This window comes from Homo sapiens, chromosome 4 (genome assembly GCF_000001405.40).
Source record: "Homo sapiens chromosome 4, GRCh38.p14 Primary Assembly".
NCBI lineage: Eukaryota > Metazoa > Chordata > Mammalia > Primates > Hominidae > Homo > Homo sapiens.
This window is the reverse complement of record NC_000004.12, coordinates 18,509,814-18,523,336: the sequence shown is the minus strand read 5'-3', so window position 1 is coordinate 18,523,336 and position 13,523 is coordinate 18,509,814. Positions and strand designations below refer to the sequence as shown.

Below are 13,523 nucleotides of genomic sequence, written 5' to 3'. Positions count from 1 at the left end.
CGTTACAAACAAGTACCGGAGAAGCTAGTTAAAATCTGAAGCAATGAACATTTAATATAACAAAAGAGCAAAAATATGATGTTTTACAACAAATAGAAATTTTACATGAACATGTACCCTGCAGTGGACAAAGGATAAGTAAGCACGAGGCTTTGTGCCTAGTGCTCTACTAGGCTTTGCTGGGACGACATGACGTGCTAAGGCTGGAGATGGGGAAGCCAAGGCAAGCACAGAGAAACAATGCAGGACCATTGGGTAAGGTCACTGGATAGGCTTGGAATCCTAACATCATGATACACAGCCTCATGTAAGTCCCCAAGGCTCTCTCTGCCTCTGATCTTTAAAATGGTTGCATAAACACTAATACCTAACTCTCCAAATAATTGCAAACACCAAAGAAATTAAAAGTAAAAGCATTTCAAAAGTGTAATGCAGTTCAGATATAATTATTTTTGCGGAACAGATTTTAAACAGGTACTAGATTTGTGATATTATTTATAAATGCTGCAGAAATTCAGATAAAGCAGAGGGCAGTAGGTAAGAGTCTGATTACACAGGGAAGTGTGATTAGAGTGGGGCTGAAGAGGATGGACGTGATTTGGACAGCAAAGAGGAGGGAGAAATTTACTGTAACAGATGAACTATTCTGACTTGATTGGAAAATAAGAAACTCCCAGTTTCATAGTTTTCTAACTCGTGCTAGTTTTCAGTCAAGTCTAGTTTTCCTTTTTCTGCTCACTGTATTTGCTTTGAAAGCATGGACAAATTCCACAAGTCTTGCTTGGTGAAGAGAGCACTACGTGCTAAGTATGTGCCAGAGAGAAAACCTCTTTAATGCTTATAGGAAAGAAAGGAGATCTGACAAATAGTTTGAAAACAATTTGGAGTCCGGTATTAAGGAGATCATGGGAAAAGGCTGCATAGAATCAAGTACTTAACTTCATCCTTGGTATTTCAAGTAACAAGTGTTACATGAAGAAACAGAACTATTGAGCAGTTGATCCTACGTTACTTTTTTTTCAGAAATAAAGTATTAGCAATTATAATTTTCTCTAGGCTCTGATAGCTTTCACACTCTTCTAATCCTTCTAATTCAACAATGATTTACTATGCCAGGAACTTGTCAGTTTCAAGGAAGACGGAGAGAAAGTTTTTGTACTTGACCTCAAGGAGCTTGTGTCTTGTGACTTAAGCTGGAATGACAGTTCAAAGAAGGTAACACAAGAGAAGGTGAATTTTTAGACAGCACATGAAGAGGTACCCATGCAGACATTGCACAATTCTGAGAGACAATAGAGCAGGACTGCTCTGAGCTGAACCAAGTTTAACCCCAAAATCTGGATTAATGAAACCATTTTTAATTTATGTTGAACGGAGATCCCAAACATTAATATTTGTTATTTGAATCATATTTATTTTACAGATGCGGATCAGAAAGCCACACGAACTTGTGTAGAGCAACATAATTACACAGTGAATTTTCTGATTCTAAATGTTGTTCCTTTTCCACTGCACTTCTTTGCATTTTTCTGTGTTGTTTCTATGTGTTTGTCTTATCTTACCATTTTTAATTTGTGAAAAAAAATATGTGAATTAATTGGTCAAGTAATTATTGAACACACATTATTAACAAGGTACTATGCCAGCCACTGGAATTACCAAGATGAACAAATTTGGAAGGCTGGCAGGCTTAAGATGTATTTGGGAGATAGGGAACAATAAGACTTATTAATTGATCGGAGGTTTAATCAATTTTCTCTATTTTTCTGGTTTTTTAATTCATTGATTTATACCTTTATTTTGATTATTTATCTCCTTATACTTATTTTGGGTATACTTTGCTTTCTTTTCTAGCTTCTTAATGCCACCTAAGAGTACTAATTATAAACCTTTCTTTGTATCTAATCTAAGCATTAAAAAAACTTTAAATGGACAAAATACTTGAATAGATACTTCTCCAAAGAAGATATGCAAATGGCCAAGAAGCACATGAAAAGATGCTCAACATCAATAACCATTAGAAAAACTCAAATCAAAACCACAATGAGATACGACTTTATACCCATTAGAATGGCTATTATCAAAAGAACAGATAATAATACATACTCACAAGACATAGAGAAATCAGAACCGTTGTGCATTGCTGGTGGGAATGTAAAATGGTGCAGCTGCTGTGTAAAAAAGTATGGCAGTTCCTAAAAAAAATTAAGTATAGAATTACCCTATGATCCATCAGTTTCATTTTGGAGTATATACCCCAAAAATTGAAATCAGGGTCTCAAACAGACATTTACACATTAATGTTCATCGCAAGATTATTCGCAATAGCCAAAAAATGGACACAACCTAAATTTCCACCAATGGATAAGCAGATAAACAAAATTTGGTATGTGAATACAATGGGATATTATTCAGCCTTAAGAAGGAATAAAACTCTGATATAATATAGATGAACTTTGAAGACATTATGCTAAATAAAATAAGCCAGATGCAACAGGACAAATATTATAAGATTCTACTTATATGAGGTACCTAGAATCCTCAAATTATTAGAGACAGAAAGCAGAGCAGCAGTTACCAGGGTCTACGGAGAAAGGAAATGGGGTATTTTTATTTAGTGGGAACAGAGTTTTATTATGGGATGATGAAAAATTTCTCAATAACTTTTTTTTTGAGAGGGGAGAACTAAGCAATGTTTTGGCTGCATGTTAAGAAATAAGTGTGTACACCCCAAAATTCATATATTCCAGTCTCAATTCACAACATGATGGTATTTGGAGAGGTGTTTTGAGAAATATTAGAGTTAGATAAGGTCATGAAGGTGCAGTCCTTATGATGGAATGGGTGGCCTTATAAGAAGAGGAAGAGAGATCGCCCCTCCTCTCTTGCTCCCTTACTTGCCTCTACAAACCAGGAAGAAAGCCCTCAGTCAGATCCACACCAGCCAGCACTTTGGTCTTAGTCTGGGGCTTCCCAGCCTCCAGAGCTGTGAGAAACTAACCTCTGTTGTTTAAGACACCCAGTCCATTGTATTTTATCATGGCAGCCCAAGCACACTAAGATCCTGCATCCCACAATTTAGTGTATTTTATTTCCATTAAAATAGTTTTTTATTTATCTTGTGATTTTTTTCTTTGACAGATGGGTTATTTAGAAATATGTATTGTTTAAATTTCCAGCTATGTTGTGGGGGGAGGGTTTCCAGATATTTTTCTGTTGCTGATTTCTGAGTCAATTCCTGGTGTGTCAGAGTACACAGCTGGTATGATTTCAGTCCTTTCAAAGGTAATGATACATGTTTTATGACACAAAATATGGTCTATCTTGGTAAATAAAATAATTTGTATTCTTCACTTGATGGGTGGAAACGTCTACAAATATCAGTTAGATTAAGTTGGTTTATAATTTCTTCTATATTTCTATTGATTTTCTGACTATTGTTATATCAGTTAGTGAAAAAGGAGTGTTGAAATTTTTAACTATATTTCTCAATTTTTCTATTTCTCCTTTCAATTATGTCAAAATTTTGCTCCATTGTATTTTGAATATCTGTTATAAAGTTCATGCAAATTTAGGTTGATTATGTCATCATAATGAATTCATCTTTTTTATTATTATAAAATGTCATTCTTTATCTCTGGCAATAGTTGGTACCCAGAAGTCTACTGTGTCTGATATTAATGTTGCCATTCCAACTTTCTGATAAATGTTATCACAAAATATTTTATTCCATCATTTTATTCTTTTTAAGTAGACTTTTTATTTTTCAGGACAGTTTTAGAGTCACAGAAAAATTTAGATACTGGGGCTCTAGCTACAGAGGACGTGTGTTAGAGAACTAATTTTGTTTGCAGATCGTAAGCTTTTTTTTTAATTTTTTTTCTATGTTCTTCATTTTGGATAGTGTTTGTTGCTTTCTTTCAAGTCCACTGATCTTTTCTTCTGAAATGTCCGATCTATTTTAATGCATTCAGTGAAAATTTTACTTCAGAGGTTATTTTTCATCTGTCGAAGCTTCATTCATTTTAAAAATATTTCTTCTTCCATGTCTTTCCTCTCTAGGTTCATGTTCCTTTAAAATTCCTATAAACATTATTTTAAGATCTTTGTTTTTTAACAGTTCCATCTCTGTTCTTTATGAACCTTTCTTTACAGTCTTCTTCTTCCTGATTGTGGGTCACAATTTCTTGCTCCTTCACTAGGTCGAGCAGTTTTTGATTGGATGTCAGATATTGTGACTTTTACATAATAGAGTGCTCTATTTTGATGTAGTATTTGACAGACTTTTAGACTTTGTTACAGCAAGCAATTCATTTATTTGCTCAATAGTTTGTTCCTGTTAAGCATCGTTTTCAAGTTATCTTAGGTCTAGTCTGTGGCAGATTTTCCTATAGGTGGAATTCAGTAGAAATACTAAGACCTTACTGTTCTACGATTCCTAATAATTGTCCCCTGTATTTTACAAGTTCTCTTCCTTCTGGATGTAAAAGGTCACAAGATCCCATTCCTGTGTAAACCTGGGAATTATTGAATTTACAGCTCTTAGGTAATTTTTCTTTTCCCAGAAATTGTTTTATGTGCATATTTCTGAAATTGTATCTAATACATGCACAAACTGTCACTTAAAGACTAAAGAAGACTTCTGTGCAGATTTTGGGAACTCTCTTCACTAAGCTCACTTTTCTCAAGGATCCTGCCCTGCAAATTCAATTCACCTAAGCTTCCCCAAACTCCAATTCTATTGGCGTTTGAAAAAAAATTCTATTGGCAGAGGAGCTAAGGATTGAGGGAAGAGGATAGCTCTAAGCTCCTTGATTTCCACTGGCAACAATCAGCAGAGGTTACATAACTGACTATATTTTTTAAAATATTAGCTGTTCATCACTGGTAAGTAGACTTTGCTGTAAAATGAAACTTTAAAAAGTAATCTATTTTCTGGCTTTCAGATATATGGTCAAAGGAGGAGCAGTCTTTGGGAGTCAATGGTTGCCACAGAAACGTTTTTAAGTTGATCTTTTCCTGCTGAGAGGTGCTTTCCATACAGGCCATTCAAGGTGAGGTAAATCCCTAAGGGGCAGACTCGGGCAATGCCAATTAATTAGATCAGTGCAGAAGAATCAGAAGGAAAGGAAGAAGGGAGGGTAGAAAAACGGCTACTGAATTATGGATAAGTAAGTTTCAGATATTTACAAAAGGTATTGTCTTAACCATACTCAAGACTCAGATCTGCTTTTGCCACATAAAATGTTGGTTTGCAAACTTCAGAGTCCTACAGATCATTTCCTGGATGTTTGCCTTGGACAACAGACCTAGTTTCTCTGAGCTTTAATTTCTTCATCTGTAAAATGGGGATACTGATATCAATCCTGCAGGTTGTTAGAAGAATTAAAAGGGAAAACAGATGTAAAATGCCTAGCATATTTCCCAGAGTATTGCAGGTGTTCAAAACATTTTATTTCCTTTCCGTATCTCACTGAAATCCTCTAAGGCTTAGCTTACTCTCAGAAAAAACACTGTATGGTCAGTCTCCATACTTCATTTTTGTTTGTAAATATGCATAAAACTATTGAGAATTATTTGGTTTCCCTGTGGCTTTCTCACCCACTCAAACAGATTATTTAAATCAACATGAAGAGATAATGATAGTTTAAAAACAGTATGCCCTACTTAGTAGAATATCCTCATATACAGAGGAACAAGTTTCAAATAATTGTATATAATCAACATATAAGCCATTAAAATATAGATTGAGTATAATTGAATCTCTTTGATGATTCAGAGGCTACTTAGCTTCTTTTAGGGCTCAGGTTCAGGAATATCCATTTCACAGAAGAGTTGAACTGACAATTATCCAGATTGGTTTGTTGAGGAGAATGGGAAAGGTGGCTTTATAAATAAATAGCTTTTGAGAACTTGTGCTCCCTAAACGTGCTGCTATGAGACAGTACGCAAAACACTGGTGATAGAAAAACAAATCAGACTAGTCCTAGTCCAGGATAAGCTCATTAGGGTAGATGAGGAAAACATAAAACAGATATTAGCACCAAAAATTTTTCAGTACAATGGAGTCACAGAAAAGAGACATCTTAAGCTTGTTTTCAGTGGCCAACTTGGGCTACAACAAGCATAGCTTGCAGTGGCATCAGGAAAAGCCAGATTCATCTAACAAAGGCATAGTTTGATAAACAAGATGACAACACTGCTCAATTTTTTTTTTCAGTGAATCTTCACAATCTAAGAATGAAGATGGTCCCCTTTAGCCTAACATACAGTTTGTCCTTTCACAATCAAGATAGTAGCAACTCTTGCAGCCTTCTCTCCTTTGACTGTTATAAGCACTCTCCATAAAGTTTGTCCAAGAACCCCTGATACTTTCCTGAGGAAGCCTCCAACATTTCTATGACACCAGCCCCTACTACTTTTACTAAGTGCATAAATATGATGGGGCTAAATAGAGGTGACAGCTGACCAACAGAGGCAGAACAGGTAGGGGGAGCCAATCAAGACTGTCAAGTGTCTCCATCTTCACCTTGACAAGCTGACATGCGGATTCTCATCTTTTATACTCTTTAGTGATGACGGACACCTTAGGCTGTATTGATTTATGGCTCTGGCATTGAGACTCCCCAGCGCATTCTCTGTCTCATGATACCTTGCTTCTTAATCAACCCTTGCTGATAATTAGGATTTCCATATAGGTGATTCTGAAAATTCTTATGGCACAGACTATATTATGTGTTTAACACAACATTTTATATTCCTAGTCACATAGGAAGTCTATGTTTCCCAAATCTCCTCTGCAATTAGATTGAGGTGGTAGAAATGGATTGTGGCCAATGGGGTATGGGAGATATGACATAAGACAGGCCTGGCTCTTTACAATTTCTCTTAAATCCTCTTAACTTCTCTGCACTGCCTATGCAAACTTGGAAATCATGTGTTTCCAAATGGCAAATCTACAACAAGATGGAGGGCGGTTCTCTACCTTACTGCCTTACTGTTTTTTTGTTTTTTTTTTTTTGTTTTTTGGTTGTTTGTTTGTTTGTTTTTGACAGAGTCTCACTCTGTCACCCAGGCTGGAGTGCAGTGGCACCATCTCAGCTCACTGCAACCTCCACCTGCAAGCAATTCTCCCACCTCAGCCTCAGAGTAGCTAGAATTACAGACACAAGCCACAACACTAGGCTAATTTTTGTATTTTTAGTAGATACAGGGTTTCACCATGTTGGCCAGGCTGGTCTTAAACTCCTGACCTCAAGTGATCCACCTGTCTTAGCCTCCCAAAGTGCTGATATTACACGTGTGAGCCACCACTTCCAGGGTCTACCTTACATTATATGTAGTATGAATGGAAACACACAAACACACACACACACACACACACACACAATCAAGCCACCATGTCAGCTAGTGTTAAGTACCCCAACAAGCACAGCCAATAAATATATCTGTTCCTCAACTTCACTTTAAAATTTTCTGCTTCTACTCTTTCACAGTATGTTGAATACTGCTTGTTCTTCAAGAATCAGATCAATTTTCACCAATTTACTAAGCCTTCTGGACTTCAGCATTCATTTTCCCATATTTACTTTATGTGCCATACATTTCACATATAGGATTGTTGCATCTAAAGAGAAATAATGTACAGTATTGCTTTCCAAACTATTTCACATCATGACACATATAATACATAAAAATATTTGTATGGTACAATAGAGTAAACAGGTAAGGCTGTTTTTGAATGATGCCAGGGAACCACCTAGGGAATTTCAACAACCCTGAGATTCTGCTCAACTGCCTGGAGGCAAATGAGAATTGAAAGAACATCTGTCATCCTTTTGTAGCATACCAATATGCCTGGGAAGTTTTGAAGGAGAAGAAGCCTACTCAAGCAGAGTCTTAGACAGTGAAATTATCTTGGTGCTGTCACCACACTTCAGAATCTGAGCCTAAACTTTTCTCAGACTCTCTTAAAATACAATATACAACCATAAGAAGAGTATTTATTGAGTATGCTATGCATTGAATTGCCTCAGTAATCCCCACAACATTGAGAAGTAGCCTTCATCATTTGCTGTTAGGTGAGAAAACCAAAGTCCAGAGATGGTGAGTAATTTTCCCACGGCCATGCAGTTTGGGGAGACTGCACTGGAATTAAAATGGGTTCAGTTCAAAAGTGATACTGCCTTTGTCAAGACACTTCTCTCTGTCAATGAACCGAGAGTGATTACACCAACCAAACTCAACAGAAAAAAGTGATATATGAAGTGGAAATCCAACTTATGGCTTAAAAATGAGAAATATATTATCATACAATTAGGAAACTAATTTCATCTCCCTATTGCATTCTGTCTCATTTTAATTCTCAGAAAATAAAAATCCAGGGACACTGAGACCCAGTTGAGAAGTAATGATCTAATGGGCTGATTACAATGTACTATAGATTTGCCTGTAAATTGCAGTACAAAGGACCAAGGTAAGAGTTGAGAAGCAGTGTCTTGGACTGTACAAGATTAGACGTGAATAGTCCATCCAATAAAATGTGGCACATATACACCATGGAATACTATGCAGCCATAAAAATGATGAGTTCATGTCCTTTGTAAGGACATGGATGAAATTGGAAATCATCATTCTCAGTAAACTATCGCAAGAATAAAAAACCAAACACCGCATATTCTCACTCATAGGTGGGAATTGAACAATGAGAACACATGGACACAGGAAGGGGAACATCACACTCTGGGGACTGTTGTGGGGTGGGGCAAGTGGGGAGGGATAGCTTTAGGAGATATACCTAATGCTAAATGACGAGTTAATGGGTGCAGCACACCAGCATGACACATGTATACATATGTAACTAACCCGCACATTGTGCACATGTACCCTAAAACTTAAAGTATAATAATAATAAAATTTAAAAAAAAAGAAAGTTGTCAATCTGGGGTAACGCAAAAAGAAGGAGTACAGGTAAAAAGCCAAACATGAAAAGTCAAAGGGTCATGAGGAGAGAATTTTCAAATCAAGGTAGAGAGCCCTAACGAGAGTTACTCTCAATACTAAATGCAGGCAGCTAAACTGGTGGGCAAGAGCCAGGTAGGAATCTCTGAGAAGGGACAGCAAGGGATAGGTCACAATCTCTCTCTTCCAGAAAAGTCAACATGGAACCAAGTATATCAGCACAGAAATACTTGAGGACTATGAAACCTTAACAAAGGTGAGGGAAGGAGACTAATTATGCTAGAGTCATCAAGTTGGTCTGATGATGCCATCCTAGTATAGAAGAAACTGCAATATACATCTGATTATGCAATCCCAGTAATTTATCTTTCAGGAACATTATCTGTCAATAATAATGGAACCATGCTGGTTATATGGCCCTAGGTTCTGCAATTTCATTTCCTACCTTCAGCAGAGCCCTATTCTGCTTATTCCCTGAAGAGAATTAGGAAGAGGAATGAAAGAAACCCTGACTCGATAATCTATTGTTTTAGCCTCCCCGACATGCATTTTGCCCTTTCCTGCTACAGCATGATGATTTTCCCTTTGAAAATTACTCATTCTGGTTAAGAAAGAACTCATCTTCCAGCTTAAGGCACATAAAATGCCCAGACTGAGAAAACGAATATTTTCTATTCCCCTGGCTAAGAGATGGATTGAGAGTCGGACACATAGTCCAAGCTGAACAGTGTAAATCATATGAGATTTTTGTTAAAATTATTGAGAATGAGACACTCTTTCTGAAGTTATGCAAGATGGAAAGGATGTAATTCTAGAATTAATAATGAGAATCTTGACATAAGGAAAGAAAAGCCTGTCTGAGAATGAACTAAAATAAAAGTGAATAAAAAGATAAGCAAAAGATACAGAAACAGATTTCTGATGAAACTCAAACACCTAGGTCCAACAATGCCCAAAGCCAATTACCCTTGACTTTCAGTTATATCAGCATTGAATGACTCTTCTCTTTATTTTCTCAAGTGAATTTGAGCAAAGATAAAATCACCCTGCTTCTTTAAGGTTACCACTCTGAATTAAATCAGCCCCAAAACTATTGACCAAGACAGCCTGGGCATTCCCCAGAGTTTTACTAAACTTCAAGTTTGTTTCTTCTTGACTGTAGGTCCCTGAGTTCTTTTCTTAGATTTACTTTAGAAAACTTGCAATTGTAAATTATTTCTCTGCCCTTTGTGATGTAAATTTTCTCCCAGCCTCAGGACAGTTTTATAATACAGGATTTTTTTTTCAAGGACCTAGGCACCATCCCTTTGAAATATAATAATTAAAAATGTAATACCCCTATCTCCCAGTTTCTGTGGGAGAGTAGGAGCCTAACTACAATAAGGGACAATTAGTGAACTCAGATAGCCTAATCACACTGACCAACTTCCCCTCCAATGTATTTCAGTACTTTTCCATGAGCTCAACCCAGAGTTTAAAAGCCCTCCAGCCCTTTGTTTCAGTGGAGTTGAGTTCTTTCTCTCTTTCCTATTGCAATAGTGTTGAAAAAAGTCTTCCTTGCCTGTTTAACTCTGGCTAGTGCAATTTTGATTTGACACTATTTTATGTTGGGACTTCCTTTTGTGTAAAGTAACATGTTCCTTTATTTAAGCCAATTGAGTAATATCTTTTTAGCTAAAAATATTTTAACTGGAATAGAGATTGTTGTTACTTTTTTCTTTAAAAAATCTTAATGATCTTTGGAAGATTTAGAGCTCTAACCTTCTACATAATCTTTCATTAAATTGTTGTGCCTAATTCTGCTTTCATTTTCATTCCCTAGGGCTTCAGAGCAATTTCCTATCATGGCCTTTTACATTACTTTGTTCACTTGCCAGTGTTTTTCCATATCAGAGCCATATGTCATATATTTACCCGGAAAATTATGATGAGGTTTTTCTATTGCCTCTCACTCCTTTGAACTTTTCTGTTGCCTCTTTACTCTGAAAAGAGGAAGAGGAGGATGAGTAAAAGGAAAAAGAGGAGGGAGAAGAAGAAGAGAAGAGGCAAGGGGGGAGGAGGAAAAGAAGGAAAAGGAAGAGAAGGTAGATGAGGAAGAAGCAGTGAAAGCTAAAAAAGAAGGGATGAAAAGAGAGATGGAAGAAGAATGCTAACAAAGAATGCGCCAATATAACATAAATATAAACTCCCATGACTGTCTTATTTCAATCACTTATCAAAGGAAAGAGGAGTCTTCCACCCAAAATGAATTATGGCCTTATGTTGGGTAAGGGTCAAACCAAGAGGGTCTCTAAGTTGGCTATGCAAGGCACACCAAATGAAGCAAAAGCAAGATCTTCTAAGAGGTTCCTTTGTAGACAAGCACAGTTGCCTAAGAACACTATTTAAACCCATGGATGACTGAACTGTAGCCAAACCTTATTTCCAGGTCATTGGCTGCATCTCTCATAGCTGCCCTGCCTCACAGATGTTGCTTTTCCCATGTTCCCATATGTAACCATGGCCTCCATTCTCCAGGTAACTGACATTTGCTCCTGTAAAGACTTAAGTCTTGTCATGTGAAAAAAAATCATTTTCTGCCCATTATTCACCTGCTGATGTTTGCCTCTCTGTCCCTTCTTTGCCCAAGTGAGCTCAAAATAGCACTGTCCTTCAACCACTTGTAAACAAAATCTGCTTGTTGGTATTGTATTTGTTATTGATTTTTGTAAGAAAAATGTCTATCAATTAGAAACATATAAATATTAAAGATATTAAAACTTCAAAAAATATATCTCCACATCATTATCTCATCTAAAACAAACCACTTTTGGAATAATATTTAACAAAAAGTATGTTTTAAAACCGATTTAAAATAACACAATCTAAGCCCGCACATTAGTCCCATCTCTTGCCAGCCTTTTCAGTATTACGCATTTGTAATGTGATAGGTGGGTCACAGCAGATCTTTTCAGTGATGCAGTAATCATTTGGGATATTTAAAAAATAACACTGGGATAAAGACTTCAGACTTCACCCTGAACTAGGTGGGTGGCAGGGTGGGGTGAGGAACGAGAGGGAAGAGAAGTGAAGCATAGCTCTGGGAATCACAGGGCCCAGGAACAGAATGGAACCCACACTATAGATTTCATGATTGGTCTTGGAGCTAAGCTCATATGGAAACAGAGAAAGAAGAGGGACTCAAATGCAAAGTCAGAATCACAATTTATTTTTACAAGCTTTTCTTGAATTCCTGCTGTGTAACATGCTACTAGTCACTAAGGTTATAAAAACAATAAATCATGCATTCTACTTATGGACCTCATCAAATTCCACTAGAAATGGTTTCTTTCCATGGTTAACAAAAGACTTTAATATGCATTATATTTGATTTTCACAGTATTCCCACAAAAGAGGCAGAGCACATATCAAAATCTCTACTTTACATACAAATGAAGGTCTAGATGTCCAGAGAAATTAAATGATTAACCCAGACTTGGAAATGGCAGTGTTGTTCTATGGGCTCATCTTGTGACTTAAAATATAGCCATCTCTTAGAAATGTTAGCCACCAGACAAATGCCTCCAAAACAATACCTTACAACCCATCACTATGTCAGGACACTATTCTAAATATGATGCTGATGGAATTTGTTTACGAAGTGCATAGACCAAACTTGATCTTACTTGCAGTGCTCATCCTATCTCCAAGATAGAAAATAGATATAACATTTATAAAAAGTAATTTATTTCTAAAGCACTCTCATCTGCATCAATACTTGACTCTCCACATTTATAGGAAAAAGGATCAGTATACATTATCTCTGTAGTATAGATGGAGAAACATGGAGAAACTAAGGCACAGAGAGGTTCCCCCCGCCAAAGGTCACTCATTTAGTTAATTAGGAGTTCCTATAAGTCTTAAGTCTAGATCTCTCAATTTCCAGTCTAGTCCTCTGTTGGCTGAAACTCTATTAAAAAGAGGAAGGATACTCATACAGGAGTGAGAGTCCTGGGACGTTTAATTCTCTTTAGTTTTTTCATCAAATGAGACAATATTTGGTTATTGCAAATATGTGCACGGCAGTCAATTGTAGTTTTATCTCTCACTCTAGATTATAATGGTATATTCCCTAAAGATCCTAACAATGACCTATGGTCACATTACTAAGAATAATTTGAATACAGGATGCCAAGTCTTACCATTCATCACTCATTCACTTCAGGATTCTGGTAATAGATAATACATACAAGGAGAAAAACTTTATAAACCTCCAAAATATAGGGTTTCTCATAATAGCATGTGTACCCCACCATCAGGCAAGAACATGCACCCTCAGAAGTTCAATGACTGCATGTTCCAGGCTACCAAAACACATTTAGCCTCAGGTGAGTTTCACTTGATATCTCCAAGCAACATAACATACATACCTGTCACCTCACTCTCCATCAGAAGACAAAGCACCCTCGATCATCCATAATCACTTACTACCATGATGATCTCTTAGCAGCCATTTTAAAGGTGGGCTATGTATGGGGGAAATATTTGTGTTACTTCTCATTGCCCCATTATAACTGTCTCTC

The 13,523-nt window shown here is 36.7% G+C and overlaps 1 long non-coding RNA gene across 3 annotated transcripts in view; it reads right to left on the bottom strand.

Moving 5' to 3' along the window:
• Nucleotides 1–13,523, bottom strand: part of LOC105374510 (uncharacterized) — a 428,164-nt gene that overhangs the window by 316,628 nt on the left and 98,013 nt on the right. Inside the window, exon 1 of one of the 3 annotated variants that reach the window (XR_925445.3) lies at nucleotides 2,111–2,542. The exons of the other annotated variants lie outside the window; for them this stretch is intronic. This is a non-coding gene — a long non-coding RNA (uncharacterized LOC105374510). Of the gene's footprint in view, nucleotides 1–2,110; nucleotides 2,543–13,523 lie in introns of those variants that run through there. 3 annotated transcript variants of the gene reach the window in all.